The sequence below is a fragment of the Homo sapiens genome, chromosome 11 (genome assembly GCF_000001405.40).
Source record: "Homo sapiens chromosome 11, GRCh38.p14 Primary Assembly".
Lineage (NCBI taxonomy): Eukaryota > Metazoa > Chordata > Mammalia > Primates > Hominidae > Homo > Homo sapiens.
In genome coordinates this window covers 76,504,026-76,517,974 of record NC_000011.10, presented here as the reverse complement: position 1 = coordinate 76,517,974, position 13,949 = coordinate 76,504,026, and the positions used below count along the sequence as shown (strand labels likewise).

General features: G+C 36.1%; 1 protein-coding gene across 50 annotated transcripts in view; it reads right to left on the bottom strand.

Moving 5' to 3' along the window:
- The window catches only part of EMSY (EMSY transcriptional repressor, BRCA2 interacting), a 108,014-nt gene that overhangs the window by 35,057 nt on the left and 59,008 nt on the right, over nt 1-13,949 (bottom strand). For all 50 annotated transcript variants that reach the window (XM_047427269.1, NM_001300942.2, XM_047427298.1 and 47 more), the window contains 2 exons: nt 4,440-4,589; nt 1,663-1,833 (listed from right to left, as the gene is read on the bottom strand). In XM_047427269.1, the coding sequence (XP_047283225.1) occupies nt 1,663-1,833; nt 4,440-4,589 (321 nt within the window). The remainder of the gene's footprint in view (nt 1-1,662; nt 1,834-4,439; nt 4,590-13,949) is intronic.

The following is a 13,949-nucleotide window of genomic DNA, read 5'->3' as shown; positions in this document are numbered from 1 at the left end:
TTTATAAAGAATAGTGAGATGTAACATAAGGATCAGTTTAGAGCAACCAGAAGAAGTTCTTTGGAATAAAAGTGTCAATGAAGCAGAGATAGAGACATAATGAGCACCACACAATGAATAAAGTTGTTTAAACTGTATGTTTAAACTGTATGCCAAGTATATCCTATAGTGCTGGAAAAGTCTCTACTCATGTACACTCATGCACTTGAAGTAGCAACTAACATGAATGGTTTTATAATTCAATACAAAGATGGATAACACATTATACATGTATAAGATATATAAATTTCAAATGACATCTCTGCTTTTAGGAAAATGTGCTTGCTTGTATTGCTCTAACCAGGTACAAAGCAGCTACATTATGCATTAGGTCTGAAAATAGAGGACTCATGACATCCAAACATTCCTTCAAGCTATATGAAACTATAAATTCATGTATAAGTAAAGAAAAATCCTTAAGGTCATAAAAAACTACCTACCAATGAAATATAAGATCCCTTTTTGACAAATGTTTAACTGAGTAAGTGCTTTATACTATGTAAAGATATTGTCAAGTAATAAATTACAATTTAAGTTTTAACTGTGTTATTTAAAGTATCCTCTTAAAAGCTGGAGTACAATGATTCTTTCCCTACTGGTTTCACCCTCCTCAGTCTGGCAAACATCGGATTTTCTCACTTACACTTAAAAGTAGAGCCAAAATTAACATCTTTAAATATAACACTTTATGCCAATATCATGCTCTGCTTTGCTTTTTTTTTCACTCCCTGAGTTATCAGCAACATCAAATTACTGCCAGGAACTTCAATCCCTTGACTTTAAAATGTTAGAACAACTCACCTGGGGCATACAAAATATGACTTGTCTACAAAAATGGTAGATAATTAAAGTCTACAGTCTTGCTTAATCTGGGATTATTTACATCATTTTAATTAAAAATAATAATCGATGAAAACAGATGCCATTTTAACATTCCACATTAGGGTCCACAACCCAAGAACTGCAGAGATTAATGAGCCAATAAAAACCAGGTATGGTTTCAATATACCAATAAATAGGCAGATGGTTGGCTTTCACTATTAAAGTAAAATATTTCTGAAAAGCAAAGTTAATATAAATGGCAAAAGGCAAATAAAGTATTCAAATATTTTTATTTTTAATAAACTAAAGTGACATCAGTAATTGAAATTATGAGATATGTTCCCTAAAACATATTCAGAACAAATAAGAGTTCTTCCACTTTCTAACTCTAATTGGTCTTGGACAGGTCAATTTGATCTCTCTAAAGCCAAATCTATCTTCATTTGTAAATTCAGCACAATAGCAACCACCTCAGAGTTGTTATGGGGTCTGAATAGGTTGACAAATAGAAGGATACTTTGCAAATGAAAAATCTCTATGCAAATTTAAACTATAATCTTTCCACTCTGACTAAAAGCAACTAAAGGTTCTTTCCATTTTAAAACTATCAAAAGCTTTATATGTGAATATTGAATATTAAAACTAAAAACTTTATTTAATCATGAAACATAAGGACTAAAACAAAGCTTTAGATTTCTAAGCAAAAAATTGAGATCAAATATAATCCTTCAATGAAGTAAGTTTTTTTTTTCCTCTCAATGAAGGCCACCTATACCTTTAACATATTTCAGATATACCTACCAGAAACTATATTACTGCTAATTATCTTGCCCCCCAAGGTAGCTAATGATTTGGGTACTACTGTAATGATGCTACCACTCGTAGTTTTCACATAGGTTGCAGCTCCAGGGGTTGCAGCCATCCGACCAATGGATGGGCTCACTGTTGGCCGGGTATAGGTTGCTTGTGTGCCTACAGAAAGGGAAAAGCCAAAAGAAAAACTTGTCATTGCTTACAGAAGAATGATAATTAATACAGTTTAACTGTAATTCCATATAATCTACATTGCTATAACTTGAAAATGGAATTTCAAGGTGTCAAGACATTAATTTATAATTTTACAGCCAGTTTTCAACACATATAGCAAGTACTACAGCCAAGTCAATTTAAATTAATTTTACACATAAAATTTTGTGATGTGTTGCATCAAATTACTAACCCAAGAAAAAGTAGAGTTAACTCTGTTCCCTTCTTCCACTACCCTTCTTCTACTAGTTTTATGCCAAAAGAAACAAATTTAATCATCTTTCCTGCCAGAGTATTTTAGATATTTCTGTCATAGATTTTAAGGTCTCTGCATCTGTTTTATGCTGTCTTAGTGCCAAACCCAATGTTGGCATTGAGCAAATAAGGCAGTATTGTTTGCCTAAAGTTTTACAAACTTTCATTGCTTTGTACTCTGCTACCCTCTAAATATACGTCCACCTTTAAAGGGTTGGTTATTCTATCATTTTAGTAAAGATTAAAGTTAAAGCTGCCTAGAGTTGCCAGGAATATTTCTCTTTAGCCTAAAATTTTCTCTATTTACCTATTTCCTCAACTTTAGACCTGTTAGACTATTTTTCTTCATGTGTCTCAAAAGATTTTATACCCTTCCCCACTATTTCTAACACTTTTTTCTTTTCTCCAAACAGGAATTAAAAGCTAACTACATGAGTCTGTTGTAGTTTCTTACAAATCCAGTAACTCAGAAAGGCTATTCCTAAATTAAGCATCAATAGCCTTAGGGAGAATGAAAAAAAAATGACTAAGATAACATCATCTTCACTTGAAGAAATCTTTCATGATAATCAAATTCACGGACCACTTTGATAGCCATTTTCAATACTCGCCTCCTCCCCCCCCCCAAAAAAATGCTTTTACCAAGTTATTCACCTTTGAAAAATACAACCATTACCCAAAAAGGGAGAACGGGAGGAACAATAAGTAGAATTAGTTTATATTGGTTATAAGCATACATCTGAATGAAAAAAAAAAAAAACCCACAAAACTAGTGCAAAGTAAATATGCTATATGGATACATAGTTTGAATTTGGCAAATTACATCTGGAAAAATTTCAAATTAAGTTTTTGTTAAAAAAAGAAACACTTATTATAACACAGACACATAAATAGACAAAATATTATTCTTCACTACTTTTCCATAACATGAAGAATCATATATGCATAACACTGTTATCTATTTAGAAAAGTTTAGGGGAAGTATGATAAAAATACTAAAGAATAATAGTGTTTAAAAGCACAGGCTTTGCATAGAGACAGAAGGTAGAATGGTGATGCCAGGGACTTCAGAAAGTGGGGAAATGAAGCATTATTGTTGAATGAACACAGAGTTTCAGTTTCGGAAGATGAAAACGTTTTGGAGATAGATGGTGTTGATGGTTATACAACAATGTGAATGTACTTAAGGCCAATGAACTATATATTTGAAAATGGTAAATTTCATGTTATATATATTTTACTGCAATTTAAAAAACAAAAGAAAGCACAGGTTTTGGAGTCAAACTGGTTCAATCCCCAGTTCTGCCTCTTTTTGGCTACATGACCTTGGGGAAGTTGCTGAAAATGGAGATAATAAAGCCTAAAGGATATGAAGTGCAATGTCTGTAATGACCTTTACACACTGGCCAATAAATGACAGCTTATAAGCTTGAGACAGGTATCATTTTACACTATTTAAATTCTGTCATCTAAATACTAGCCATCCTCAAAAAGTTTGGTTAAAGAGTCATACATTTAAAATAACGGTAATGGCTAATTATAATATTAATAGTGACAACTATTGAGCACTATGCCGGGGACTTTCTACATACCTGATTTCATTTAGTACTTATAATAACGTTATGGCATAGGTATTATTATCCCATTTAAATAAACAAGGAAAAAAACAAAAACAAATAAACAAAGAAAAACATTTAGAGAGATTAAGTAATCTGCTCAAGGTCACATTTTAGATAGTGTTACTATCCAAAATGTTCAACACTGTCACTTCCTCCAGCATATGCTGGTTGCTTGCCTATCAGGGCACAATACCATTCTGTGCTTCCCTCAGTCTCAGTAACGCTTACTAAACTGTAATGTAACATATACTCTTCTCAACTTCATCAGAGTGAAATCCTTGTGGGTTGGGACTGTTTTAATTCATTCAGCAAATCCTGACTGAGCACCTACTTACAGACTAGCTCTATATATGTGGTAAATAAAAAGGATATGGTCCCTTACGCTCACAGAGCTTATGGTCCAATAAAAGGAACAATATCAAACAAATCAATATACAACTAGATACCTAAGAAATTATGGGAAGTGCTATAAAGGAAAAGAACAAAGGATCATTAGAAAGAATAACAAAAGAAAGTTAACGTCAGGGCAGTCAGTAGGGGTGTGAGAATCAAGAAAGGCCTCTTTGAAAAACTGTCCCATTAATCTCTATATCCCAAGTGTCAAGCATATTGCTGGTACAGAGAAACTGTTTGATGAATGTATGATGAATAAATGAACTGATGCTCAAGAGAACTTACCAGTAGGAGTGGTTACCAGTTTAGTTGTCATAATTGCACCATTACTGCTAACCACCATAATAGGGGAATTGCTACTGGTGGGTAGAGTTGCTGTCACTGGTTTGGGTAAGATTTTACTTGGTTGAACCTGTTGTGTGATGATTTTAACACCTTTGAAAGAAGAAAGATAAATCTCAGCACAAATTATTTTTAAATACATGTCCCTTATACCAACCCAAGAGGGCAGTAGTCACACACATTTACTCAGTCTTGTCTAAAGAGAAGTTTTTTTTAATACTGATGAAACTCTAAACTTTTATTCCTCAAATTCCTATCTTTCTTAGTTTATTTCTCATTTCAGAAATGCAACTAAAACATTGCATTAACAAACTTCATAAAGAAAAACAAATCTTTTGTCTATGATTGTGTTATACAAGAGCTTTCAAACCAAATTATCCACTGGACTTGACTTTACAGGCAAATAATCCTTTCCATACAAATACTTAGGATGAAAGGACTAGCATAAGAGGTCAGAAACAAAAGGTAATGTGCTTTTATGTATCCCCAACTTCGCCAAAATATTCACACAACTCCTTAAACTTACATAAAAGCTGTTGAAAATTATAAAGACAAAGAACATTTTTTGTTTGAATTTTTTAACTGCCTTCTTTTAAAATAATTTTTAATAGCTCACTTTGTCAAATACAGGATACAAAAAAAGATACATTATTATTCTACCTACACAAAAAAATGTGTGTGGACAAGAACTTGAAGGTGATAGGCAAAAATAAAACTAAAGTGCTAGGGTGGTGATTTATGGTTTTTTTTTTTTTTACATTTTCTAAATTTTTCTTTATAATGCCATAATTGTTACATTGACTTTCCAAATGTAAACATTCTTTTAACCCTTTTCCCATTTAGAAAAAAAAAAAGTGTAGCTTGCTGCCTGCATTCATTTAATTTTATATAAACATGCTCTTTGAGGCTGAAACAAATCTGAGTGATTTTCAATGTGAAAATAAAATATAAAAACTGTTTTTGAGAACTATGTTAACATCACACATAGGAATGCTAGCTTCTAGGATTTGACATTTTCAGCAATTGAGAATTACTATATTTTGTAAACGGAAATACCACTACTAAAAACAGAATGCTATAAATAGAATAATGTCTTTTGTTTCCAAAGTCAATATACTAGAGCAATGCAAAAATAATAATCAAAGCAAGATATTTCCTGGCAAAGTTATCTTGGGGTAAATGCTACAGCTGCAAGCACCACCAGCAAGTATTCTCGGGGTAAATGAGAAAAGGGTTAAAATAAAATTTCCTATGCCAACTATAAATTTAAATTGGTAGCTAAGGAAGGAAATTTTTGGTAACACTCTTTCCCCACTACTATCTTCACTGAAATAATTCATGAGTTAAAATATGTTGTTATAGACAACTAAGAATTATATTACTTTTTGAGATGGTGATTTAGGTTAAGACATTAGGAAGCAAACAGATCTATTTATTTAATAGCCTTACATAATTTTAAATTTCTTGTAGCCAACAAAGTTGTTAAAATTATGACATCTAAGTATATAATTAGACAGGCTACATAATCTCTGTGACTCAGTCTCCTCATCCATAAAATAATGATTCTATTAGTATATACCTCATAAGGCTGTTGTTAAGATTAAATAAATCACAACTGTAAAGTTCATAATGAACAGTAAAAATTCAGTAATTATTATGGAAATTTTAAGATTCTGATTATAATAAATCTTAAGCACTGAGGTTTGTGGGGGGAATAATTTCTAGTATTTATTTCATTAGTGAATTACAGTTATTATTATTTTATTATTATTATTATTTTGAGATGGAGTCTCACTCTGTCTCCAGGCTGGAGTACAGTGGTGCAATCTCAGCTCACTGCAACCTCCACCTCCTGGGTTTAAGTGATTCTCCTGCCTCAGCCTCCCGAGTAGGTGGGATTACAGGGGCCTGTCATCATGCCCGGCTAATTTTTTTGTATTTTTAGCAGAGACAGGGTTTCACCATGTTGGCCAGGCTGGTTTTGAACTCCTGACCTCAAGGGACCCACCAGCCTTGGCCTCCCAAAGGGATTACAGGTGTGAGCCACCAGACCCGACCACAATTAAGTAATTCTTAAAGCACATATAAAAAGGAGCTTCTAAAGAAATAAGCACACAGAGAAAAAATTAAGATAATCTTAAAATGACTTTGCTCAATTATATGCAAATAAGTTTAAAATCTGGATCAAATAGGTAATTTTCTAGGAAGTTATTACTTATCAATATTGACCCCAGAAAAGAGAAAAAATGTAAATAGACAAATTTCCACAGATAAAAATTTCAGGAGCTGTACCCCTTTGCCAAAAAGTAGCAGGCTCAGATAGTTGCATTGGAGAATTCTACAGTCTCTTAAAAAGAAAGTAATTCCAATGTACTTAAAGCCATTCCAAATATTGATATCTGGCACGGCGGCATCGGCTCTGCTGGCCCCCTAACCCAGTGAAGCTGGTAAAAATTATAAAACCACCATTGAAAGGGTCCAGAAATCGTGCCAAGGGCAAATAATAAATGAAAAAACATCTACTCAATAAAATCTCAAAAAATTCATTGAGAAAGGCAAAATCTGTGGTATTTAAACCAAGAGCATTTCCTCCTTCCCCACTACTAGCTCAGCAAGGGGTACATTCCATTCCAGATGGCTGCAGTGAAGAAGAACTCGGGATTCCTTCTCTGCCAGCTCCCAGTTGAAAGGTTTTCTTCTCAGGAGAAACCAGACTTCAGATTATATCATCCTGCACTCAGCTACCTACTACTAAGGCTAAGTTCTGGGCAAGAGCAGTATGGATGTGAGAGCTCTCTTATTCTGCCCAGCCCCCAGTTTGTGGACAAAGCTCTACCTTGGGCACAGTACCACTGAGTATACTGAAGTACTGATAGCCCTTGCCCTGGCTTGTGAGGCAGTGACTCCACCACCAAGCGAGGCAAACTGTGAGGACCTTTGGCTGCTCCCCAACCCCTTACCCCGACTCTGTGAGCACTCAGTGCGTAAAGCAGGGGTCTGTCAGAGAAGTCTGTCACTTACCCCACCCTAGATACTTCCTATTTCTGCAAGGTTCCAGTTTCTAAGGTCTGTATCAATGGCATTTTTATTTGTGAATCAATTATTACATTATACTATATTAATTAATTTTAGGCAAGGTCTTGCTGTGTCACCCAAGGTAGAGTGCAATGGTGTGATCATGGCTCACTGCCTTGATCTTCTAGGCTCAAGCAATCCTCTTGCCCCAACCTTCAGAGTAGCTGGGAATACAAGCATATGCCACCACACTCAGCTAATTTTACTATTTTTGTAGAGATAGGGTCTTGCTTTATAGTCCAGGGTGATCTTGAACTCTGGCTTCAAGCAGTCCCCCTGCCTTGGCCTCCCAAAGATCTGGGATTACAGGCATGAGCCACCAAACACAGCCAGTTTATTAATTTTTTTATTAGAGACAGCGTCTTGTTCTGTCACCCAGGCTGAAGTGCGGTGGCATGATGACTGTAACCTTGAACTCCTGAGCTAAAGCAATTCTCCCATCTCAGAATCCCAAAGCACTGAGATTATAGGCATGAGCCACTGCACCTGGTCTATATTTTATTTTTTTGAATAGAGAAAGCATTCATTAAAAACTGACCAGTATAAAAAGTTAGAGTGAATAACTTGTCCTCTTTCCTTGTCCTCTGTCTAGTTCTCCCTTGCCATTAACAAAAGCTTAGTTTCTTATATATTGTCAGAGTCTCCACAAATACAAGAAAATTTAAATATGGATTCTTATACCTCCCCTCTTTACACACTTGTAAAACATAACACATGCACCTTGCTTTCCCCCCCACCTTTAACAATGTATCTTAGAGATCTTTTTAATATAGTCAGTACATAAAATTAAATTGCTTCTTCATTCTACAGTGATACAGGTATACCTTGTTTTATTACACTTTGCTTTATTGTGCTTCTCAGTACTAGTGTGTTTTTTTGTTTGTCTGTTTGTTTTTGTTTTTTGTTTTTTTGAGACGGAGTCTCGCTCTGTTACCCAGGCTGGAGTGCAGTGGTGCAATCTTGGTTCACTGCAACCTCCACTTCCTGGGTTCAAGCAATTCTCCCTGCCTCAGCCTCCCGAGTAGCGGGATTATAGGCACCCACCAACACACCTGGTTTATTTTTGTATTTTTAGTAGAGACAGGGTTTCATCATGTTGGCCAGGCTGGTCTCGAACTCCTGACCTCCGGTGATCTGCACTCCTTGGCCTCCCAAAGTGTTTTTTACAAATTGAAGGTTCTGGCAACCCCACGTCGAGTAAGTCTATAGGCACCATTTTTCCAACAGTGTGCGCTCACATTATGTCTGTGTCACATTTTGATGATTCTCACAATAATTCAAAGTTTTTTTTTATTATTATATCTGTTACTTTAATCGGTGATCAGTGATCTTTGATGTTACTATTATAATTGTTTTGGGCCACCACAAACCATGCTCGTGTAAGATGATGTACTTAATCAATAAATGTTGTGTGTGCTCTGACTGCTTCACGAACTGGACATTCTCCCATCTCTCTCCCTCTCCTTGGGCCTGCTTGTTTCCAAAGACACAATGATACTGAAATTAGGCCAGTTAATAAACTTCATTTCTATGAAGGCCAGGAGAGTGAGGAATCTGCAGAAGAAAAGTTGGAAGCTAGCAGAGGTTGGTTCATGCGGTTTAAGGAAAGAAACCATCTACAGAATGTCAAAGTGCAAAACAAAACAGCAAGTGCTGACGGAGAAGCTGTAGCAAGTTATCCAGTAGATCTACCTAAGATCATTGATGAAGGTGGCTACACTAAACACCAGATTTTCAATGTAGACAAAATAGACTTTTATTGGAAGAAGATGCCATCTAGGACTTTCATAGATAAAGAAGTCAATGCCTGGCTTCAAAGCTTCAAAGAACAGACTGACTCTCTTGTTAGGGACTAATGCAGTTGCTGAGTTTAAGTTGAAGCTGATGTTCATTTACCATTCGCAAAATGCTAGGGTCCTTAAAAAGGATGCTAAATCTACTCTGCCTGTGCTCTATAAATGAAACAACAAAGCCTGGATGACACCACATCTGTTCACAGCATGGTTTACTGAAGGTTTTAAGCCCACTATTGAGACCTACTGCTCATAAAAAAAAAAAAAGATTCCTTTCAAAATATTACTACCCACTGACAATGCACCTAGTCACCCAAGAGCTCTGATGGAGATATACAAGATTAATATTGTTTTCATGCCTGCTAACATAACATCCGTTGTGCAGGCCATGAAACAAGGAATAATTTCAACTTTCAGGTCTTATTAAGAAATAAATTTTAGGCTGGGTGTGGTGGCTCATGCCTGCAGTCCCAGCACTTTGGGAGGCTGTGGCAGGTGGATTGTTTGAGCCCAGGAGTTTGAGACCAGTCTGGGCAACATGGTGAGACCCTGTCTCTACAAAAATTTTTTTAAAAAAATTAGCCAGGCATGCTATGGCTCATGCCTGTAGTCTCAGCTACTTGGGAGGCTGAGGTGGGAGGACTGCTTGAGCCAGGAGGTTGAGGCTGCAGTGAACTATGATTGTGTCACTGCATTCCAGCCTGGCTGACAGACTATGTCTCAAAAAAAAGAAAAAAAAAAAAAAGAAAAAGAAAAAGAAAAAGAAAAAAAAATGCATTTTGTAAGGCTACAGCTGCCATAATGATTTCTCTAATGGATTTGGGCAAAGTCAATCTTCTGGAAAGGATTCACTGTTCTAGATGCATTCAGAACATTTTTGAATCATGGGAGGAGGTCAAAATATCAACATTAATAGGAGCTTGGAAGAGGTGGATTCCAACCTCTATGGATGACTTTGAGTGGTTTAGGTCTTCAGTGAGAGAAATAACTATCTTGTGATAAAACTTGACTAGATGAGGAGTTGCTTCTCATGGATGAACAACGAATGTGGTTTCTTGAGATGGAATCTTCTAATGAAATAATAGTGCCCTGTCCTGTGGATGTTGTTGAAATAACAACAAGCAATTTGGAGTATTATATAAACTTAGTTGATAAAGCAATGGCACGTTTAAAAGATTGACTTCCATTTTCAAAGAAGTTCTACTGTGGGTAAAATGTTGTAAAACAGCATTCCATGCTACAAAGAAATCTTTTACAGAAGGAAAAATCAATCCATGCAGCCAACTTCACTGTTGTCTTACTTTAAGAAAATGCTGTAACCACCCCAACCTTCAGTATCCACCAACCTGACCAGTCAACAGCCATCAACATTGAGACAAGACCCTCCACCAGCAAAAAGATTACACCTCTCTGAAGGCTCAGATGGTCATTAGCATTTTTTAGCAATGAAGTATTTTAAATTAAGGTATGTACATTTTTTAGACATAATACAATTACACACATAATAGACAGCAGTATAATATAAACATAACTTTTATATGCACTGGGAAACCAAAACTTTGGTGTGACTTCCTCTGTTGTGATATTCACTTTATTTCAGTGGTCTGGAACTGAACCTGTAAACTCTATAAAGTACGCCAGAATCGTAATTTATGTAATGAATCCCCTGTAAGGTTGTTTCCAGTCTTTCTTTTTTTAAAATTCAAACAAAATGCAGTGAATAAGCCTATATAGTGTCATTTTGTATGTGTATCTGTAGGATAAATTTCCAGAAGTATGACTGCTATGTCAGTTTTGACAGATACTGCCAAGTTTTCATCTTATCGGGATTTTCGATTTATTTTCCTACCAGTAATGTACGAGTCCCAGCTTCCTCACAGTGCCCCCTTCCCACCAGTATATTTTCAAGCAGTTGGATTTTTGCCAATGTGATAGGGGCGGGTGGATGTTATCTCAGTATTTTTTTCATTTTTCATTTCCCTTATTAAGAGTGAGTTTGAGAAACTATTTATATGTTTTAGTGCCCTTTGTAATTCACTTTTTGTGTGCTATCTGTATCCATTTTCCACTTTCCTGTTGGATCAATTTCTGGGAATTCTTACACTGTCAGGATAATTGGTATTCTGTGCATTTCATGATTTGCAGATTTTTTTCCAGTTTATTTGTCTTTTGACTTCATGGGGTTTTCTGTGCAAAACACTATTTGTTTATATGTAGTTGAATTTATCAGTGTGGTCTTTAATGCTTCCAGATTTTCCATCACAGTTTATAATTTTTGTATTTAAGTCTTTTGGAATTTAAACTGGTATGAGGTTAGACAATACAATATATTGATAACCAAATGTGATTTCAGTCTGTAATTTTCTTTTTTGTGTGCAGGGTTTGCCAGGTTTTTCTTTGAGCATTATGTGTATTTCCAAGAAAGAATTTTGAAAGTTTTTTTTTAATGCCCTGGAATATTTTTTATATTTAAATTTTATTTATTTATTTAGAGACAAGGTCTCGCTCTATTGCCCAGGCTTAAGTACACCAGGCAATTCTGCCGCCTTAGCCTCAGCTGAGACTACAAGCATATGCCACCATACCTGGCTAATTAAAAAAATTTTTTTTGTAGAGTTGGGGTCTTGCCATGTTGCCCAGACTGGTGTCGAACACCTGGCCTCAAGTGATTCTCTCGCCTTGGCCTACCAAAGTGTCAGGATTATAGGTGTGAGCCACTGTGCTCGGCCTGAAATTTTTTTTTCTTTTTTTTTTGAGACAGAGTCTCGCTCTGTTGCCCAGGCTGGAGTGCAGGGGCGTGATCTTGGTTCACTGCAAGCTCCACCCCCCGGGTTCACGCGATTCTCCTGCCTCAGCCTCCCAAGTAGCTGGGACTACAGGCGCCTGCCACCACGCCCAGCTAATTTTTTGTATTTTTAGTAGAGATGGGGTTTCACCGTGTTAGCCAGGATGGTCTCGATCTCTTGACCTCGTGATCCACCCGCCTCAGCCTCCCAAGGTGCTGGGATTACAGGCGTGAGCCACTGTGCCCAGCCGCCATATTTCTTTTAGATTATTTTCTATGAAGTAATACCACTATTCTTCTCTCCACATCCCCAGAGCCACTATCTGGAATATGGTATTTATCACGCTATTGTATATTTTTATAGTTTTACAACAAGGTAGGTGGATCACTTGAAGTCAGGAGTTTGAGACCAGCTTGGCCAACATGGTGAAAACCCATCTCTACAAAAAAAAAAAAAAAAAAATTAGCCGGGCGTGATGGTGCGCGCCTGTAATCCCAGCTACTTGGGAGGCTGAAGCAGGAGAATTGCTTGAACCCAGGAGGCGTAAGTTGCAGTGAGCCAAGACCGCCCGCCTTGGCCTCCCAAAGTGCTGGGATTACAGGCATGAGCCACCGCTCCCGGCCGAATTTTCTTTTCTTAAAGAGCTTTATCAAAATATAATTGACTAAGCATTCAATGAACACATTTAAAATGTACAATGTAATGTTATTTAATATATTCACAGATATGTTCAGCCATCATAACAATTGATTTTAGAACACTTCACTTCAAAAGGAAACCCCATAATATGATCTACTACTCCTTGCACCCATTCATTCAGTTTCCTACCCCCAGCCCCAAGTAACCACTAGTTATTTTCTGTCTGTAGATTTCTGTAATTTGGACTTTGATATGAAATAAATCATATAATACGTGGTCTTCTGTAACTGGCTTCTTGAACTTAATGTAATCTTTTTGAGGTTCATCCATCTTGTAGCATGTGTTAGTACTTCATTCCTTTTATGGCTAATTAAAATTCACATTTTGTTTATCTGTTTGTCCATTGATATGAATTTGGATTGTTTCACCTATTGGCTATTACGAATAATGCTGCTGAAAATATTTGTATGCAAGTTTTTTGGTATTCAGTTCTCTTGTATATATACCTAGGAGTGGAATCTCAGGATCATATGTTAATTCTTTGTTTAATTTAATTGTTTGATAAACTGACGTGTTTTCCAAAGCAACAGTACCATTTTACATTCCCACCAGCAGTGTATGAGGATTCCTGTTTCTCTACATCCATGTCAACACTTGTTATTCTGTTACATTGATTCTAGGCAGTCTGCTTTGTGTAAAGTATATTTCACTGTGATTCTGATGTGTACTTACCTGATAACTAATGATGTTTAGCATGTTTTCATGTGCTTTTTGTATCTTTTATATATTTTCCCTGAAGAAATGGCTATTCGGATCTTTTACCCATTTTAAAATTGGGTTATATGTCTATTTACCATTGAGTTATAAGAGTTTATATATATATATTATATATATATAAAAACTCATATATCTGTACCATTTTACATGTACATGTATGGTTTTATTTCTGGTGGTGGGAATGTAAAATGGTACAGTTTATATTTGCTGGTGGGAATGTAAAATGGTACAGTTGCTTCGGATATGTAATTTGCAAGTATTATTTCCCATTCTCTGAATTGTCTTTTTACTTTCTTGATGGTATCTTTTAAAACACAGCAGTTAGCTGGGCACAGTGGCTCCCGCCTGTAATCCCAGCACTTTGGGAGGCCAAGGTAGGTGGA